This window comes from Homo sapiens, chromosome 10 (genome assembly GCF_000001405.40).
Source record: "Homo sapiens chromosome 10, GRCh38.p14 Primary Assembly".
NCBI classification, from domain to species: Eukaryota; Metazoa; Chordata; class Mammalia; order Primates; family Hominidae; genus Homo; species Homo sapiens.
The window spans coordinates 101,195,159-101,213,347 of record NC_000010.11 but is presented as its reverse complement, the minus strand read 5'-3'; positions in this window follow the sequence as shown (position 1 = coordinate 101,213,347).

Here is an 18,189-nt window from a genome sequence, read left to right as displayed (position 1 = left end):
GGCCAAAATGGTGAAACCCTGTCTCTACTAAAAATACAAAAATTAGCCGGACGTGGTGGTGGGCGCCTGTAATTCCAGCTCCTCGGGAGGCTGAGGCAGGAGAATCACTTGAATCAGGAAGGCAGAGGTTGCAGTGAGCTGAGATCATGCCATTGCACTCCAGCCTGCGTGACAAGAGCAAAACTCCGTCTCAAAAAAATAAATACATAGGCCAGGCACAGTGGCTCATGCTTGTAATCCCAGCACTTTGAGAGGCTGAGACCGGCAGATCACCTGAGGTCAGGAGTTCGAGACCAGCCTGGCTAACAAGGAGAAATTGCCTCTACTAAAAATACGAAAATTAGCTGGGTGTGGTGGCGCATGCCTGTAGTCCCAGCTCCTCTGGAGGCTGAGGCAGGAAGATCACTCAAATCTGGGAGGCAAAGGTTGCAGTGAGCCGAGATCACGCCACTGCACTCCAGCCTGGGTGACGGCGTAAGATGCTGTCTCTAAATAAATAAATAAATAAATAAATGTAACAATGCATAAATAAAAATAAATTTCTTTCTCTACAGTGTGATCATCAGGCCTGACGGACGGGCCACGTTCCCCAGCTAGCACACTGCAGATGGAAAGGTCAGGGGAAGAGTGAGTGCCAACCCAGGCTCAGTCCATGGGTCTTGCGCGAATTGTTCAGAGTAGATAAAAAGTGGTAAGAGGTGGCGACAGCCCTGCCTGGCACTTCTAGAAGGGCCAGAGATCCCTGAGCTTCTGGTGACATCCTGGCAGAAAACCTAATAGGTAGTGAGTGCAGCAGGAAGTTCTATGCCCCATGAGGGCCCTCACATGCCTGACATACACATGTACTGACTCTGTGGTGCACCAAACACTCCCTTACACAGGCTCAGGCTGCCACCATGTCTTGACACTGAACTCCTGACCCTGCAGAGCCACACTCACCCAAGACCCACTCCTGAGACCTGCTCCCACCCAACTGCAGGACCTTCTCCAGCCCTGAACGTTTAGGAGAAGCAAGGATCAGAGTGGGAAGAACCCCTGGGCAGGTGTGGGAGGAGGCAGTCTGTTAAGGTCGCTTTAGGTCTTTGTCCTCGATTTTGAGACTGTCCTTAGAGAAAGGGGAGTACTGTGTCTTACTGTGTGACAGGAGGGGTACTGGGCTTCAAAAGTCCCTTGCGACCTGAGATCTGGTGACAGCCTTTCATTCGAGGCAATGCTCTGTGATTGTTTATAAGTCTCCCAGAACTCTGTCCCCAATCCCCTCTTGCCCACCTGCCATGTCCAGAGAGCGGGAATCCCCCCTAGACACAGATTAGCCACAAGTATTGGGAATTTCCACTTACTGTAAGTAGCAGGAAAATGAGAATCCTGAGCCCCAAGCCTTAGGTGGGGAAAGAGGTGAAGGAGATCCTCTGTCCCCCTTCCATCTGTTTCCATCCTTTTTCTCTTGGGGTCTTAAGTAGTTTTCCCTGGCAGAGTGTCCTCCCAGAATGGACATCTTGGGGTCCCTGGAGTCACTGCACTAGAGCCAGGATACCTCGTGTCCCTCTTCCCTTCCCCCAGGATGGGAGGGCAGCAAGGGAGAGCTGTTGATGGGCCCGGCTGGCTAGTCTGAGCTTGAAAACACAGATTTCAGGTCCTCACTTCATAGCCACTGAAATAGAATCAGTGGGGCCTGAGAATCTTCCCTTTATGAAGCAGCCTACTCCTTCTTTCTCCTTCTTTCCCTTTCCCAGACTCTTCTGGGAGAACTGCAGAATCTCTCCCCTTCCCATCTACTCCTCCCCAGCGTGACTTCCAAATGAGGAAATCCACCTGATATGTGGGATCAGATATCCTGGGCTTAAGTCTGTAACTTCCTAGCTGTGGGACTTTGGCAAGTCACTTCATCTCTCGAAGCCTCAGTTTCATCATCTGTGAGTTGACCATAATATTCCCTGTCTCAGGGGGGTGCACTCAGGGTCAGATGAGCTAATGTCTTCACAGGGTGCTTTGCAAAAGGCACATTTTAGTCCAAATGCTGGTGACTATTCAAGAATTTCAGTGCCAGATGTAGAGGTGTTGGTAAGCCCAGGGAAACCTTCTCCTGGCCTGAGCAGTGAGCTCTGGAGACAGAAGGGGGAATGATCCCGAGATTGGAGTCCAGGCAGGGCAGTCCCCTCCCTCAGAGAGCTCATCCTTGTGGGCATGTGAGGGTCTCTTATTTGCAGCTCCCCAGGGCTCCACACTGAGTGGGCTTTTCTTCCCAGCTCACCTTTCCCACCAAAGATATGTAACTGATCTCTGTGGGGGGAAGAAAGAAGGAAAATACCCATGCCAATTACCTTCTTCAAAAAGAAATTGGGGCCAGGCACAGTAGCTTATGCCTGTAATCCCAGCACTTTGGGAGGCTGAGGCGGGTGGATCACCTGAGGTCAGGCGTTCGAGACCAGCCTGGCCAACATGGTGAAACCCCGTCTCAACTAAAAATACAAAAATTAGCCGGGCATGGTGGTGGGCACCTGTAATCCCAGCTACTCGGGAGGCTGAAGCAGGAGAATTGCTTGAACTTGGGAGACGGAGGTTGCAGTGAGCTGAGATTGTGCTACTGCACTCCAGCCTGGGTGACAAGAGGGAAACTCTGTCTCAAAAAAAAAAAAATTGGGCTTACTTAATATCAGTTTCAGTCACTGAGAAACTCACATCAAGTTCTGGGGAACGTGTTAAAAATACACAGGCTGAGCTGTAGTACATTTCTGTCATGGTCTCCAGCTATTGGGATTTCTTTGTCCCTGGGGGTGAGACCTACTGCCTTGGAATACCTAGCGTTACTGATCATAAGCAGACAGTGAGGCCTCCCAGAATAGCCCTCCCAGAGATGCCCCCTCCACATCCCTGGTTTTCTTCCAAAGATGGGGCAGGGAGCAGTGAGCTGGGCAGACTATGGGGACAATAAGCTAGAGTGACATGGACTTAGAATGACAGGAGATAGGTCTAATAGAAAGAGCAGGGCTTTGAACTGTGGGGCAGGGGAGCAAAGCACGGGTCTCACTCCTTCTAGCTGTTCCTCAGCCTCGCTAAGCCAGTTTCCTCATCTGTAAAGGCGGGTGATACTAAGACCGGTTCCATCTCCCACGGTGGTTATGAGCAGCCACTACTTCCACAGACAGAGCTGCATTTTTGCAAACATATAGATGTGTGCATATATGTGTAGAAATAAGAACAGAGCATGTGTCCTATTCTGAAATTCACTTTTTTCACTTAATAACATTTCTTGGTTACTTTACCAGGCCCTTTTTCCATGGCGATAGCTTGTAAACCGCAAAACTATTGAAATGTTAGTTAATTTAAAGAACTCAGAGAAAACACTACCCTTTGGAGACGAAGGGCTGTTTTCTCATTGGGGTGTAGTGTGTGTGTACCCATGTCTTTGTGTTGCTAGGTTGGAGGAAAGGGAGGGCTTGTGAGTGTGCATGGTACTTCAGCAGCTGGAGACCCAAGTGGGATGAAGACTTTTCTGATTTTTAGGAATATAGAGTCTGGAGTGAAAACAAATTGAACCAATTAGGAAACTTCATCCCCTAGGGAGCCCTCTCAGAAGCCTCCCAGGAGCCTGCCTGCTTGGTTACTGGCCCTAGGGGGAGTGTGGAGAGGGGGAGACCTATGTTTGCCTCTGGGGTGACACAGAGGGTATGTTAAGGTATATTTAAGCTGCTGTGACAAAGAGGTCCCCCAATACATAGACTAACAGGGATAGGTGTCTATTCTTTTTCACATAACAGTTCAGTGTATAGATCTCTGTTCTATATGTTGTCATCACTAAAAGCATGGACTCTGGAACCTGGTTGCCTGGAATCAAATCTTGCCCTTGGTGACCTTATAGCAATTACTCAACCTGTGTCTCAGGTTCCTTACCTGTAAACTTGGTTGGACTTCATAGGATTATTGTGAGGATTAAGTGAGTTAGGACCCTCCAAAATTATTTATTGAGCACCTACTACAGTCAGTCATAGTCAGTCATTGTTTGGGGCTCATGGTAACTCCCACTGGTGGGCTCAAAGTGGCTGCTCTAGCTTCTGCCATCATGTCTGCCTCCCACTCAGTGGGAAGAAGGAAAGGGCAAAGGGAGCACACACCCATTCCTTTAAGGTCATAACCCAGAAGTGGCATACATCTGACCTCGTCCTAACCATCAATCAGAATTTGGTTGTATTGACTCAATAAGCTGCAAGGGAGGCTGGGGAGTGTAAACTTTAGTCATGTGATCATGTGCCCAACCAAAACTCAGGCATACTAACAAAACAAGGAAGGAATGGATACTGGTGGGAAATTAGCAGTTTCTTCTCTCTTCCCCGGGGCAGCTGCATCATTCTCATATACAATTGTTATGAGCCAAAGGGGGCTGTCTGCTCAATGTGCCAGGTTTTGAGAAAAGAAAGGCTTTTATTGCAAGTTGACTCACAAGCAGACATGAGTGTGAAGCTCAAATCTGTCTCCTCGTCTTGGCTTCAAAGCAGTATTTTTATTAGAAAAGGTTCAGGGGGTGGATTCTGAGATGAGCAGATCATTGGTGAAAGGAAAGGGGAGATCTGGAAAGTCCCTGGGCATGCGCAGTTATCTCTTCCTGGGATCTCATGGGTCGCATGTGCAAATTCAAGGGGAGTTAGTATGAAACATGCAGTGGAAATTCAGTCGGTGCCATCAGCAAGTTCATCCTGCGCAGACTCCAGTTGTCCATGTTGGTTCCAACCAGTGTTAGCCAGTTCTTTTGATCTCATAAGCAGAGGGAGTTTCAGTTGTTTCTTTTCCTTTTTTTTTTTTTTTTTTGAGATGGAGTTTCTCTCTTGTTGCCCAGGCTGGAGTGCAATGGCGTGATCTCAGCTCACTGCAATCTCTGCCGGGTTCAAGTGATTCTCCTGCCTCAGCCTCCTGAGTAGCTGGGATTACAGGCGTGTGCCACCATGCCTGACTAATTTTTGTATTTTTAGTAGAGACGGGGTTTCACCATGTTGGCCAGGCTGGTCTTGAACTCCTGACCTCAGGTGATCCACCCACCTCAGCCTCCTAAGGTGCTAGGATTACAGGCATGGCGTGAGCCACCACGCCCGGCCGGTAGTTGTTTCTTTTTTTAACCTCCATTCTGCAAACTCAAGAATTTCTGTTAGCCAGGCGCGGTGGCTCATGCCTATAATCCCAGCACTTTGGGAGGCCGAGGCGGGTGGATCACCTGAGGTCAGGAGTTCGAGACCAGCCTGACCAACAAAGGAAAACCCTGTGTCTACTAAAAATACAAAAAAAATTAGCCGGGCGTGGTGGCACACACCTGTAGTCCTAGCTACTTGGGAGGCTGAGACAGGAGAACTGCTTGAACCCAGGAGGAGGAGGTTGCGGTGAGCCAAGATTGCACCACTGCACTCCAGCCTGGGCGACAGAGAGAGACTCCGTCTCAAAAAAAAAAAAAAAAAAAGAATTTCTGTCATTGGCTTCCTTAACTCTTTGGGGCATGGTTTTACAGCTCCTGAGGACAGGGACAGAGGGAGGAGTGGCAGAGACTATGAGGAAAAAAGCAATAAAGGTCTCATTTAAGAAGGAGGGGCCTGAGACAGGGACAAGGAGCTGGGAGAGGAAAAACCAAGACCAGGGCTGCCAGCTTGTGCCAAGGATCTGCGGTCAGGGAGAGGTCCTGGGTGCAATGGACCATTTTTATGCCTTTGGATCTTCTTGGGTTTTTGTTTTTTTTATAAATAAAGATGGGGTCTCACTATGTTGCCCAGGCTGGTCTTGAACTCCTGGCCTCAAGTGATCCTCCTGCCTCAGCCTCCAAGTAGCTAGGACTATAGCACTCCCACAGTGCTGAGACCACAGGTGGGAACCACAGCACCCGGCCAGGATCTTCTTATTTCCTTCTGCTTCTTCTGAGATCCCAGTGAAGGTAGGTGGACTTCTGTGCTGAGACAAAATGTGCATTATTTTTTTGTCCTGGCCTGAGCTCAATAGGATGAAGGCTCAGAATAACCCTGTAGGGCACTCAGGAAGTCCCAGGCAGTGACAGTGGACCAAGGCTGCTCTGCCTCGGCTGCAATAGCTGAGATTCCTGAGGCTCCCAGAGAAGCAGCTGAAAAGGATGCCCTGGCTGGGGGAGCCTGCATGCAGGCAGATGGAGGGTGGTGCACAGAGTGCATTCCGAGTGGCCTCTGATGGAGCTCAGGACTGTGGGCACAGGGGCAGTGTTGCTGACACTGAGAACTGGGAACATCAGCCCCACCCACCATCTTCCCCTGCTGTCTGCTTGTGTTTTCCTTGTATCTTTAAGCTTACAGGAGCCTCTAGACCTGGCATGCTCAAGCCAGTGTCCAGAGTCCTCTGCAATTGGGAGCAGAGTTGTGTGACTATATGCTTAAGTGTGTTTTCTTTTTTCTTTTTTTTTTCTTGAGACGGAGTCTCGCTCTGTCACCCAGGCTGGGGTGCAGTGGCGCGATCTCGGCTCACTGCAAGCTCCGCCTTCTGGGTTCACGCCATTCTCTTGCCTCAGCCTCCCGAGTAGCTGGGACTACAGGTGCCCACCACCATGCCTGGCTAATTTTTTGTATTTTTAGTAGAGACGGGGTTTCACCGTGTTAGTCAGGATGGTCTCGATCTCCTGACCTCGTGATCCACCTGCCTTGGCCTCCCAAAGTGCTGGGATTACAGGCGTGAGCCACTGCGCCCGAACTTTTTTTTTTTTTTGAAACAGAGTCTTGCTCTGTAGCTCAGGCTGGAGTGCAGTGGCACGATCTCGGGGTCATTGCAAATTCCACCTCCCGGGTTCAAGCAATTCTCCTGCCTCAGCCTCCAGGGAACTGGGATTACAGATGTGTGCCACCAAGCCTGGCTAATTTTTATATTTTTAGTAGAGACAGGGTTTCTCCATGTTGGCCAGGCTGGTCTTGAACTCCTGACCTCGGGTGATCTGCCTGCCTCAGCCTCCCAAGGTGCAGGGATTACAGGCGTGAGCCACTGCACCTGGGCTTAAGTGTGTTTTTCTGCGTGGTGGTGGCATAGCTTTTATCAGACTCCTAATGTATCTATGACCCAACAGAGGTCAACAGCATAGACTTCCTTCTCTTTTCCTCACATCTGCTGTGAAGAAACCACCTTAATTTGATTTTTAAGCTCCTACAACTGTGCTTATAGCCAGGCGTGGTGGCTCATGCCTGTAATCCCAACATTTTGGGAAGTCAAGGTGGGAGGATCTCTTGAGGCTCAAAGTTTGATACCAGCCTGGAGAACATCGTGAGACCTTATCTTTACAAAAATAAAAAAATAGCCAGGCATGATGGTGCATGGTCTGTGGTTCCAGCTACTTGGGAGGCTGAGGCAGGAGGATCACTTGAGCCCAGGAGTTTGGGGCTGCAGTGAGCTATGGTTGTGCCACTGCACTCCAGCCTGGGTGACAGAGTGAGACCCTGCTTCTCAAAAATAAATAATAATAAATAAATAATTTAAAAAGCAAAATACAATCCTCATAAAGCATTTGAAACTATTTTGGCAGGTGCCTCAGTCATTTCAACAAGCAGTTGCACAGAGTGCAGAGCCCCTTGCCTCTGATTCCCTCCTTCAGTCCCCAGAACAACCTGGAGATGTAGGTACTGGGAGTTCCGATGCCCATTGTACAGACGGAGGCAAGAGACTGGGGTGCGGGGTGAGGCACCTGCCTGAGTGCAGGTCTGTGGACTTCTGTGTGGAGACAAAATGTGCATTATTTTTTTTGTCCTGGTCTGAGCCCAAGAGGATGAAGATGGAGAGTAACACTGTAGGGCCCTCAGGGAGTCCCAGGTGGCGAGAGCAGACCAAGGCTCGGCGTGGACCTAGGTTTACCTGAGGCTGATCGCAGATGACAGTTGGCAGTGGGAGACCAGAATCGAGCCTGTTCTCTGAGGCTGTGGAGCCTGTGCTCTGCTCTCCTTCGGGCCGCTCGCCGGGAGCTGGGCAAGGTAGGGCATGTGCGACTTCAGGGTGGCAGCCTTTCCTTTCAGCATCTCTTCCCCTACCCCCAGGGGAGTGGTGACATCCAACTCCCCAGTTTTTTGCAACTCAGAGTGTGGTCCTGGGACCGGCAGTATCAGCAGCCCCTGGGAGCCAGTTAGAAAAAGTGGAATTGCGGCCTGGCGCGGTGGCTCATGCCTGTAATCCCAGGACTTTGGGAGGCCAAGGCAGGCAGATCATGAGGTCAGGAGTTTGAGACCAGCCTGACCAACATGGTGAAACCCTATCTCTACTAAAAATACAAAAATTAGCCGGGCGTGGTGGCGCACACCTGTAATCCCAGCTACTCATAAGGATGAGGCAGGAGAATCACTTAAACCCGGGAGACGAAAGTTGCAGTGAGCCTAGATTGTCCTACTTCACTCCAACCTGGGCGACAGACAGAGCGAGACTCTGTCTCAAAAAATAAAAAAAGAAAAGAAAAGTGGAATTGCTGGGCCCACCTAGGCCTGTTGAGTCAGTATCCACATGTTAATGAGATTTTCCTGAGAGCTTCTTGCCTGCATTGAAGTTGGAGAAGTTCGGCGCTAGACCTCTCCTCTATCCACAGGTATGAGTCTCATTCATAGGAAGACACTTCCTCAGGGATGCGGGGGGCAGGGATGCCTGTTTTGTTCAAGACCTGCAGCTTTGAGCAGGGCTCAGTGGTTCCCCAGGCCTGTAATCACAGCTACTTGGGAGGCTGAGGCAGGAGGATGGCTTCAGCCAGGAGTTGGAAACCAGCCTGAGCAACACAGCAAGACCCTATCTCTAAAAAAAGAAAAAGACGGCCAGGCGCGGTGGCTCACACCTGTAATCCCAACACTTTGGGAGGCTGAGGTGGGTGGATCACCTGAGGTCAAGAGTTCAAGACCAGCCTGGCCAACATGGTGAAAATCCAAAATACAAAAAATTAGTTGGGCGTGGTGGCAGGCATCTGTAATCCCAGCTACTCAGGAGGCTGAGGCAGGAGAATCGCTTGAAACTGGGAGGCGGAGGTTGCAGGGAGCCGAGATCGCACCATTGTGCTCCAGCCTGGGCAACAAGAGGGAAACTCCATCTCAAAAAAAAAAATAAAATAAAATAAAGAAAGAAAAAGAAAAGAAAAAGGAAAAGCTCCGCTGGGGCTTCTGCCTTCCCAACTTTCCTTCCCCTTCCAAACCAAAGCCAGATCCTCCTGCCCTCCCCCATGCCCCTGCCTTACCTTTTCATTTTCTTTTATTTTTTTACCTTTTTATTTAATTTTTTTTTTGAGACAAGGTCTTGCTCTGTCGCCCAGGCTGGAATGCAGTGGCGCCATCTCACTGCAACCTCCTCCTCCTGGGTTCAAGCGATTCTCCTGCCTCAGCCTCCCAAGTAGCTGAGACCACCACGCCCAGCTAATTTTTGTATTTTTAGTAGAGACGGGGTTTTGCCATGTTGGCCAGGCTGGTCTCAAACTCCTGAGCTCAAGTGATCCACCCGCCTTGCCTCCCAAAGTGTTGGGATTACAGGTGTGAGCCACTGCACCTGACCTCCCTTTTTATTTTAAGTAACCCTTTTCTTTTAGAATAGTTTAAAGCTTATAGCAAAGTTGCAGATAGTACAGAGAGCTGTCATGTACCCTCACTCAGGAGCCTCTGTTGTTAACATCGACGTCACCATGGTACATTTGTCACAACAAGCAAACAACATCAGTACATTGCTACTAACTAAACTTGCCACTTTATTTAATCAGATTTCACTAACATCCTTTCTCTAAAGGATGTTTTTCCACTAACATCCCTTTTCTGTTTCAGGATTCTATCCAGGATGCCACATTACATTTGGTCATCACATCGTCTTAGTCTGTGTCTGTGACAGTTTCTCAGGCTTTCCCTGTTTTTTATTCCCTTAACAGTTTAGAGGAGTACAGGTCAGGAATTCTGTAGAACGTCCCTCAATCTGGATTTTTCTGTGGTTTTCTCATGGTTATGTTACCCGAAAGGGGTCCCTACCCAGACCCCAAGAGAGGGTTTTTGGATCTTGCACAAGAAAGAATTTGAGGTGAATCCAGAAAGTGAAAGCAAGTTTATTAGGAAAGTAAAAGAATAAGAGAATGGTTACTCCATAGGCAGAGCAGCCCTGAGGGCTTCTGGTTTTTTTGTTTTATTTTTGAGACGAGTCTCGCTCTGTCGCCCAGGCTGGAGTGCAGTGGTGCGATCTTGGCTCACTGAAAACTCCATCTCTCGGGTTCAGCCATTCTCCTGCCTCAGCCTCCAGAGTAGCTGGGACTACAGGCGCCTGCCACCACGCCTGGCTATTTTTTTTGTATTTTTTTAGTAGAGATGGTGTTTCACCGTGTTAGCCAGGATGGGGGCTTCTGTTTTTTACGGTTATTTCTTGATTATATGCTAAACAAGTGGTGGATTATTCATGAGTCTTCCTGGAAAGGGATGGGCAATTCCTGGACCTGAGGGTTCCTCTCCTTTTTAGACCATATAGGGTAACTTCCAGACATTGCCATGGCATTTGTAAACTGTCATGGTGCTGGTGGGAGTGTCTTTTAGGATGCTAATGCATTATAATTAGCATGTAATGAGCAGTGAGGACAACTGGAGGTCACTCAGGATGATTCAGGAAATTGTATTTTACTCGAGTTGAAGGAGAACATTAGTGTTAGATTAGAGCGATGGGGAACCAGGTGTGGCAGCTCACACCTGCAATCCCAGCAGTTTGTGAGGCAGAGGTGGGAGGATGACTTGAGCCCAAGAGCTGGAGACCAGACTGGGCAACATGGTGAGACCTCTTCTCTACAAAAAATAAAAAATTAGCTTGGCATGATGGCACACACACACCTGTAGTCCCAGCTACCTGGGAGGCTGAGGTGGGAGGATGATTAGAGCCCAGGAAGTCAAGGCTGCAGTGAGCTGTGATGGTGCCACTGCACTCCAGCCTGGGCAACAAAGTGACATTCTGTCTCAAAAAAAAAAAAAAAAAAGTGCTGGGGAAGGGAACAGGGCTGTGCTGAATGTGTGAGGAGACACTACTCAGGTATGAAGAAGGCTTACTGTTTGTATTTTTTTTGTATTCATTTTAAATTCTGAATTATCCCTTTGTGTTAGTCTGTTCTTGTATTGATATAAAGAAATATCTGAGGCTGGGTAACTTATGAAGAAAAGACATTTAATTGTTCATGGTTCTGCAGGCTGTGCAAGAAGCATGGCACCAATATCTGCTCAGCTTCTGGTGAGGCCTCAGGAAGCTTCTAATCACGGCAGAAGGAGAATAGGAGGCTGGCCTATCACATGGTGAGAAAGTCAGTGGGGGACGGAGTGGGTGCCACACACACCCCTTTTTTTTTCTGAGACAGGGCTGTCCCCAGGCTGGAGTACAGTGGCACAGTCATACCTCACTGCAGTCTCCACCTTCCAGACTCAAGTGATCCTCCCCCATCAGCCTCCTGAGTAGCTGGGACCACAGGCTAACACCACCATGACCAGTAATTTTTTCATTTTTTACAGAGACGGAGTCTTGCCATGTTGCCCAGGCTGGTCTCAAACTCCTAGGCTCAAGTCATCCTCCTGCCTTGGCCTCCCAAAGTGCTGGGATTAAAAATGTGAGCCACTGTGCCTGGCCACCATACCCTTTTCAACAACCAGATCTCACGTGAACTCAGAGTGAGAACTCACTCATTATTGTGAGGACAGCACCAAGCTATTCATGAAGGATCCGCCCCCATGACCCAAACACCTCTCACCAGGCCCCACCTCCAACACTGGGGATTACATTTACTTACTTACTTTTATTCATTTACTTTTTGAGATGGAGTCTAGCTCTGTTGCGCAGGCTAAAGTGCAGTGGCACAATCTTGGCTCACTGCAACCTCTGCCTCCCGGGCTCAAGCAATTCTCCTGCCTCAACCTCCCAAGTAGCTGAGACTACAGGCGTGTGCCACTGTTAGGCCTCTGAGCCCAAGCCAAGCCGTGGCATCCCCCGTGACTTGCATGTATACGCCCAGATGGCCTGAAGTAACTGAAGAATCACAAAAGAAGTGAAAATACCCTGCCCTGCCTTAACTGATGACATTCCACCACAAAAATAAGTGAAAATGGCCGGTCCTTGCCTTAGGTGATGACATTACCTTGTGAAAGTCCTTTTCCTGGCTCATCCTGGCTCAAAAACTCCCCTACTGAGCATTTTGCGACCCCCACTCCTGCCCGCCAGAGAGCAAACCCCCTTTGACTGTAATTTTCCTTTACCTACCCAAATCTTATAAAACGGCCCCACCCCTGTCTCCCTTCGCTGACTCCCTTTTCAGACTCAGCCCGCCTGCACCCAGGTGATTAAAAGTTTTATTGCTCACACAAAGCCTGTTTGGTGGTCTCTTCACATGGGCGCGCATGAAAGCCACCATGCCTGGCTAATTTTTACATTTTTAGTAGATGGGATTTCACCATGTTGGCCAGGCTGGTCTTGAACTCCTGAGCTCAAGTGATCTGCCCGCCTCGGCCTCCCAAAGTGCTGGGATTACAGGCATGAGCCACCATGCCCGGCCTGGGGATTACATTTAAACATGAGATTTGAAAGGGACAAACACCCAAACACCTGTTCAATACAGGTAGTATATATATGTGCCTCTGCTTTAACAAGCCAGACATCCTTTCATTTTAGCATAGCAACATTGAATGGGAAACATCCCGTCTTTCCCACTTTTAGCCTTCAAGCTGCCTGTGCTCTGTGAGGCAGCCCCTGTCCCCACCCCAGATCTAGGAATGCCTGTTGCCAAATGAGGAGGAATGAGAACTTAGAGAGATTCCACAGGGGCTCTGCCAAGCAGACGTGATGCTCAAGAAAGAAAACTCTGGCCTCTGGGTGGACTCCATGTCTTTTGAGTCCTAAGTGCAGAAGGTGAAGAGGTGCCTAAGACTCTCACTGACCCGCCCACCTCTGCAGCACGACCTTCCAGCCCCAGTGAAATCTGTAGCACTATGTTCAACTTCCAGAATTCTGCCTTCAGTGTCAAGCGTGCAGGGTTCCAGGATTGTCCAGGCCTGGTGAAATATTGATATTCGTCTTCCCTGAAAGGATAAGTTGCGATCAACGTCATACATCTGTCAGATAGGAGTCAGCCCTTGGAACTTTCCGTAGGATTCTTTGCCACCCTCCACAGAATGCATGGTGGGTCAGATACTGTGACACTGGCCAATTCTCTCTCAGCAATGGTGGCAGGAGGTGGGTGAAGAGAGGGACAGTCGGTTGGCATCACCGTGAATTCTAGTTGTTTGCAGGGGATACAGCGTGGAAGAATATTCTCGGCCTCTGAGAAGAATTGGCCCTTCTATCCAGCTGGAGATACTCTTGAGGCACACAATTCCAACAGAGAGAGGGGCAACAGGTACCCCAAAGCTACCGGCAATTGCTTCAGTCAGCTCTGTTCAGTGGCAGGGAATGGGATCCTACCCAAAGTAGCTTGATATAACAGCTGCAGAGGATTCCTCTTTTTAGAAAAAGATTTTTATTTTCAATTTTTGTGGGTACCTAGTGGGTGTATATATTTACAGGGTACATGAGGTATTTTGACACAGGCATACAATGGGTAATAATTACATTAGGGTAAATGGGGTATCCATCACCTCAAGCATTTATCTTTTCTTTGTCTTATAAATAATCCACTTATATTCTTTTAGTTTTTTAAGTGTATAATAAATTATTGTTGACTGTAGTCACTCTGTTGTGCTATCAAATACTAGGTCTTAGTCATTCTTTCTATTATAACTAATATGTTTTTGTACCCATTAATCATTTCCTGCCTCCCTCAACCACTACTCTTCCCAGCCTCTGGTGACTATTGCTCCACTGTCTGTCTCCATGAGTTCAATTGTTTTAATTTTTAGCTCCCACAAATAAGTGAGAAGATGAGAAGTTTGTCTTTTTTTTTTTTTTTGTGAGATGGAGTCTCGCTCTGTTGCCCAGGCTGGAGTGCAGTGGCACAATCTCGGCTCACTGTAACCTCTGCCTCTCAGGTTCAAGTGATTTTCCTGCCTCAGCCTCCCAAGTAGCTGGGACTATAGGCATGCACCACCACGCCCGGTTAATTTTTTGTATTTTTAATAGAGACGGGGTTTCACCATGTTGGCCAGGCTGGTTTTGAACTTCTGTCCTCAAGTGATCTGCCCGCCTCGGCCTCCTGAAGTTCTAGGAATACAGGTGTGAGCCACCACGTCTGGCCAGAAGTTTGTCTTTCTGTGCCTGGCTTATTTCACCTAACATAATGATCACCAGTTCCATCCATGTTGTTGCAAATGACAGGATCTTTTTTTTTTTTTTTTTGAGATGGAGTGTTGCTCTGTCATTCAGGCTGAATTGCAGTGTCATGATCTCAGCTCACTGCAACCTCCACCTCCCAGGTTCAAGTGATACTCCTGCCTCAGCCTCCCAAGTAGCTGGGATTACAAGTGCATGCGACCATGTCTGGCTAATTTTTGTATTTTCAGTAGAGACAGGGTTTCACTGTATTGACGAGGCTGGTCTCAAACTCCTGACCTCAAGTGATCTGCCCGCCTCAGCCTCCCAAAATGCTAGGATTACAGGCATGAGCCACTGCGCCCAGCCAACAGGATCTCATTCTTTTTCATGGCTGAATAGTACTCCGCTGTGTATAAGTACCACATTTTCTTTATCTATTTGTCTGTTGATGGACACTTAGGTTGTTTCCAAATCCTGGCTATTGTGAATAGTACTGCAATAAACATGGCAGTGAAGATATCTCTTTGATAAGCTGATTTTCTTTCTTTTGGGTATATACCCAGCAGTGGGATTGCTGTGTCATATGGTAGCTCTATTTTTAGTTTTTTGAGGAACTTCCAAACTGTTCTCCATAGTGGTTGTATTACTTTACATTCCAACCAACAGCATACAAGGGTTCCCTTTTCTCCACATCCTCGTCAGCATTTGTTATTGCCTGTCTTTTGGATAAAAGCCATTTTCACTGGGGTGAGATGATATCACGTTATAGTTTTGATTTGCATTTCTCTGATGATCAGTGACTGAATACCTTTTCATACGCCTGTTTGCCATTTATATGTCTTCCTTGAGGACTCCTCTTTGACCCTTCCCTGGAGGTGGGCTGTAGCAGACAATGGGACCCCCACTCCACCAGACCTGGCTGGTTGGAGCAGGTAGGTACTGACCCAGACTGGGCCTGCCAGAGTCTTTCTCCTGGGCATTCGGACAAGGGCTAGACATCTCTGTGGCCGGACATCTCTGTGGCCACTTGAACTTGCATAATCTGGGGCTATTGACAGCCATGTTTAGCCTCATGCACATGGAGAATTGAAGGAAATTGGTCTCAAATAAGATACTTGAGACCATAGGCCCATTTAGAGAAGGTCTGCCTGGCTTTCAGGTCATCCTGAGACCCAGGTGTGCCACCTGTCCCAGGGTTCCAGGAGACACCTGCCATCCTTATAAGGACTACCCTTTTAAAGCCGGGTGTGGTGGCTCATGCCTGTAATCCCAGCACTTTGAGAGGCTGAGGCGGGTGGATCACCTAAGGTCAGGAGTTCAAGACCAGCCTGGACAACATGGTGAAACCCCGTCTCTACTAAAAATATAAAAATTAGCCAGATGTGGCAGCAGGTGCCTGTAATCCCAGCTACTCGGGAGGCTGAGGCAGGAGAATCTCTTGAACCTGGGAAGCGGAGGTTGCAGTGAGCTGAGATTGTGCCACTGCACCCCACTCTGGGTGACAAGAGCTAAACTCAATCTCAAAAAAAAAAAATAGACTACCCTTTTTGCGTAAGTTAGCCTGGGTGGGTTTCTATCAGTTATACCTCCAGAAAAGCCTAAGACAGGGTATATTATACGGGTTCAGAGAATGTCACAGAAAGAAGGGCAGGAAGCACACTGGGGCTCAGGAATTAGGAAAATTCTGTCTCTCTCTCTCTCTCAATTTGCTCATATGGTTCTCGTCTCTCCTATCTATCTCAGCAGGCTAGCTTTCTTCTTTTTTTCCACTAGTGAGTCCCCAACCAAATTGTTGTCCTAGTCCTGAATCTATACAACCTTCAGTTCCAGCCATCAGACTGTAATCCCTCCCTCTCAGTTGAAATATGAGGGAGAGGCCGGGCGTGGTGGCTCATGCCTGTAATCCTAGCACTTTGGGAGGCCGAGATGGGCAGATCACCTGAGGTCAGGAGTTCGAGACCAGCCTGTCCAACACGGTGAAACCCCATCTCTACTAAAAATACAAAAACTAGCCAGGCGTGGTGGCAGGCACCTGTAATCCCAGCTACTCGGGAGGCTGAGGGAAGAAAATCGCTTGAACCCAGGAGGTGGAGGTTGCAGTGAGCTGAGATCATGCCACTGCACTCCAGCCTGAGTGACAGAGCAAGAATCCATCTAAATAATAATAATAATAATAATAAAGAGGGGAAGAGGGCGAGAGAGAGAGGTTGATTCTGCCCTATGTCTTGGTTCCCCTTTGGGTCAAGTATCCACTCCTGCTCACACCGACCGTGACTGGAGGAGAAGGAGGCTCACACAGCACATTAATCAGTGCCCTCTCCCCGGCCTTTAAAGAAGAGACAGAAGTTTAACTCAAAGTAGCCCAAGGGGAAAGGCAGAAATGGCTTAGCTCCCATAAGTGATACGAACAGAGCAGGGAGGGCTTCTGGAACAACTGGGTCCAGAACACCAACCATGTCACTGGGGCTCGGCTCCTTTCGCTGTGCCGGCCTCATTTCCTCATGTTGGACCTTCGTGTGGGACATGGGAAGACTGACAACTCGAGGATTCTGTCACCTCAACTAGTGACTTTAGGGTCAAGAAAGACCCTCCGCCTCCTATGGCCTGTATGTAAAATCCCCGTTAAGGAGCTGATCAGCCGGTCTGAGTCAGGGACCCCTCCCTGGGCTGATCTTCCCTGAGCCAGGGGTGCAAGAATACGGTGATCAGCAGCCCCTCCGTGCCCACGTTGTGGTGGGGGGACTTTCTCAAAGAACGGAGCTGGTCGGGAGGGTCCTGGCCGCTGTGCTTGGTCTGTAGTGTGACACCCCTGTCAGGGGCTGGGGCTGTGGCAGAGAAACTAGCAGGGAAGCCAGGTGAGGAAGGTGGCAGTTAATGGCTCTGGAGGCTCCTCTTCTGTGGTCCTGATCAGCTCTTACTCCCAGGCCTGGCTTTGCAGACCTGAATTATTCTGCTGACAGCCCTTTGGCCTCCTTTATGTTCTTGTTCTCCCTGGAACTTTAGTGTCCTGCTAGGACTCATTCTGCCTGGCCTCAGCCGATGGGCTCCGGAGCCTGCTCCACTCTGGGGGAGGATTCCCAAAGCAGGACTCTGAGCCAGAGCCTGCCACTCCCCCGTCATGGGTTGGCACTGCCCATTGGGGCTGGAGGCCTTGGCTCCCAGGGGCCACTGGAGCCAGAAGAGGTCACTGTATGGAGTTGAAATGGTGTGCACCCGCTACGACATTACCAGCCCAGGCATTTGGCCTGGAGGATCCCAAACTGAGCTGGCTTCTGCCCCATGGAGGGAGGGTCTTACTAGCCCTTCTAGTAGCAATGATGAGCCCCTCTCTGTGTTGACTTCTGTCTTAAGCAAAGTTTTGTCAATTGCTAACAAGAATAGAAGGACGTTAGAGGTCAGAGGCCTGCAGGCAAAGCCTGCCTTCAAAACCGAGACATGGGGAGACGCCAGGATTACTTCACAACTCCAGCTGTCTCTCAAACAAGTCTGTTCAGACATCTTCAAATAAGCATCTAGCACTTCTCTCTGCCAGAATGTTGACACTCAGGCTTGCTTTCCCAGGGCTGAGTGATGCCTCCGTGGCTCTGGGTAGAACACCCTCCTGGGCTCGGAGGCGCAGCCATTGCCAAGAGGCAGGAGAGTAAAGCGGGGCATTCCTGCTTCTCAATCAGTACCTCTTCTGTCCACAGAATCCCTCAGCACAAATCACCTGATACATTGGACAAATCTGTCTGGACTCTTCAAAGATCCCATTCTTGGGAGTGAGGAAAGAGGAAGGACTGTTTTCCTTTCCCCCACCATCCCTTCCTATTCCCCACCTCTCAGCTCTGGCCGGGAGATCCCGAGAGTGGCTACAAAGGAGGCTGAAGCTTGGAGATTTCAATAGAGGCCTAGGATGGGGAAGGAACTTGACCCCTGTCTCACTGGGCAGCCTGGGGTGTACTGCTCCCGGGACCTACAGTCCTGCAGAGGTGGGAACTGGCCTCAGTTAAGGTCTAGTAA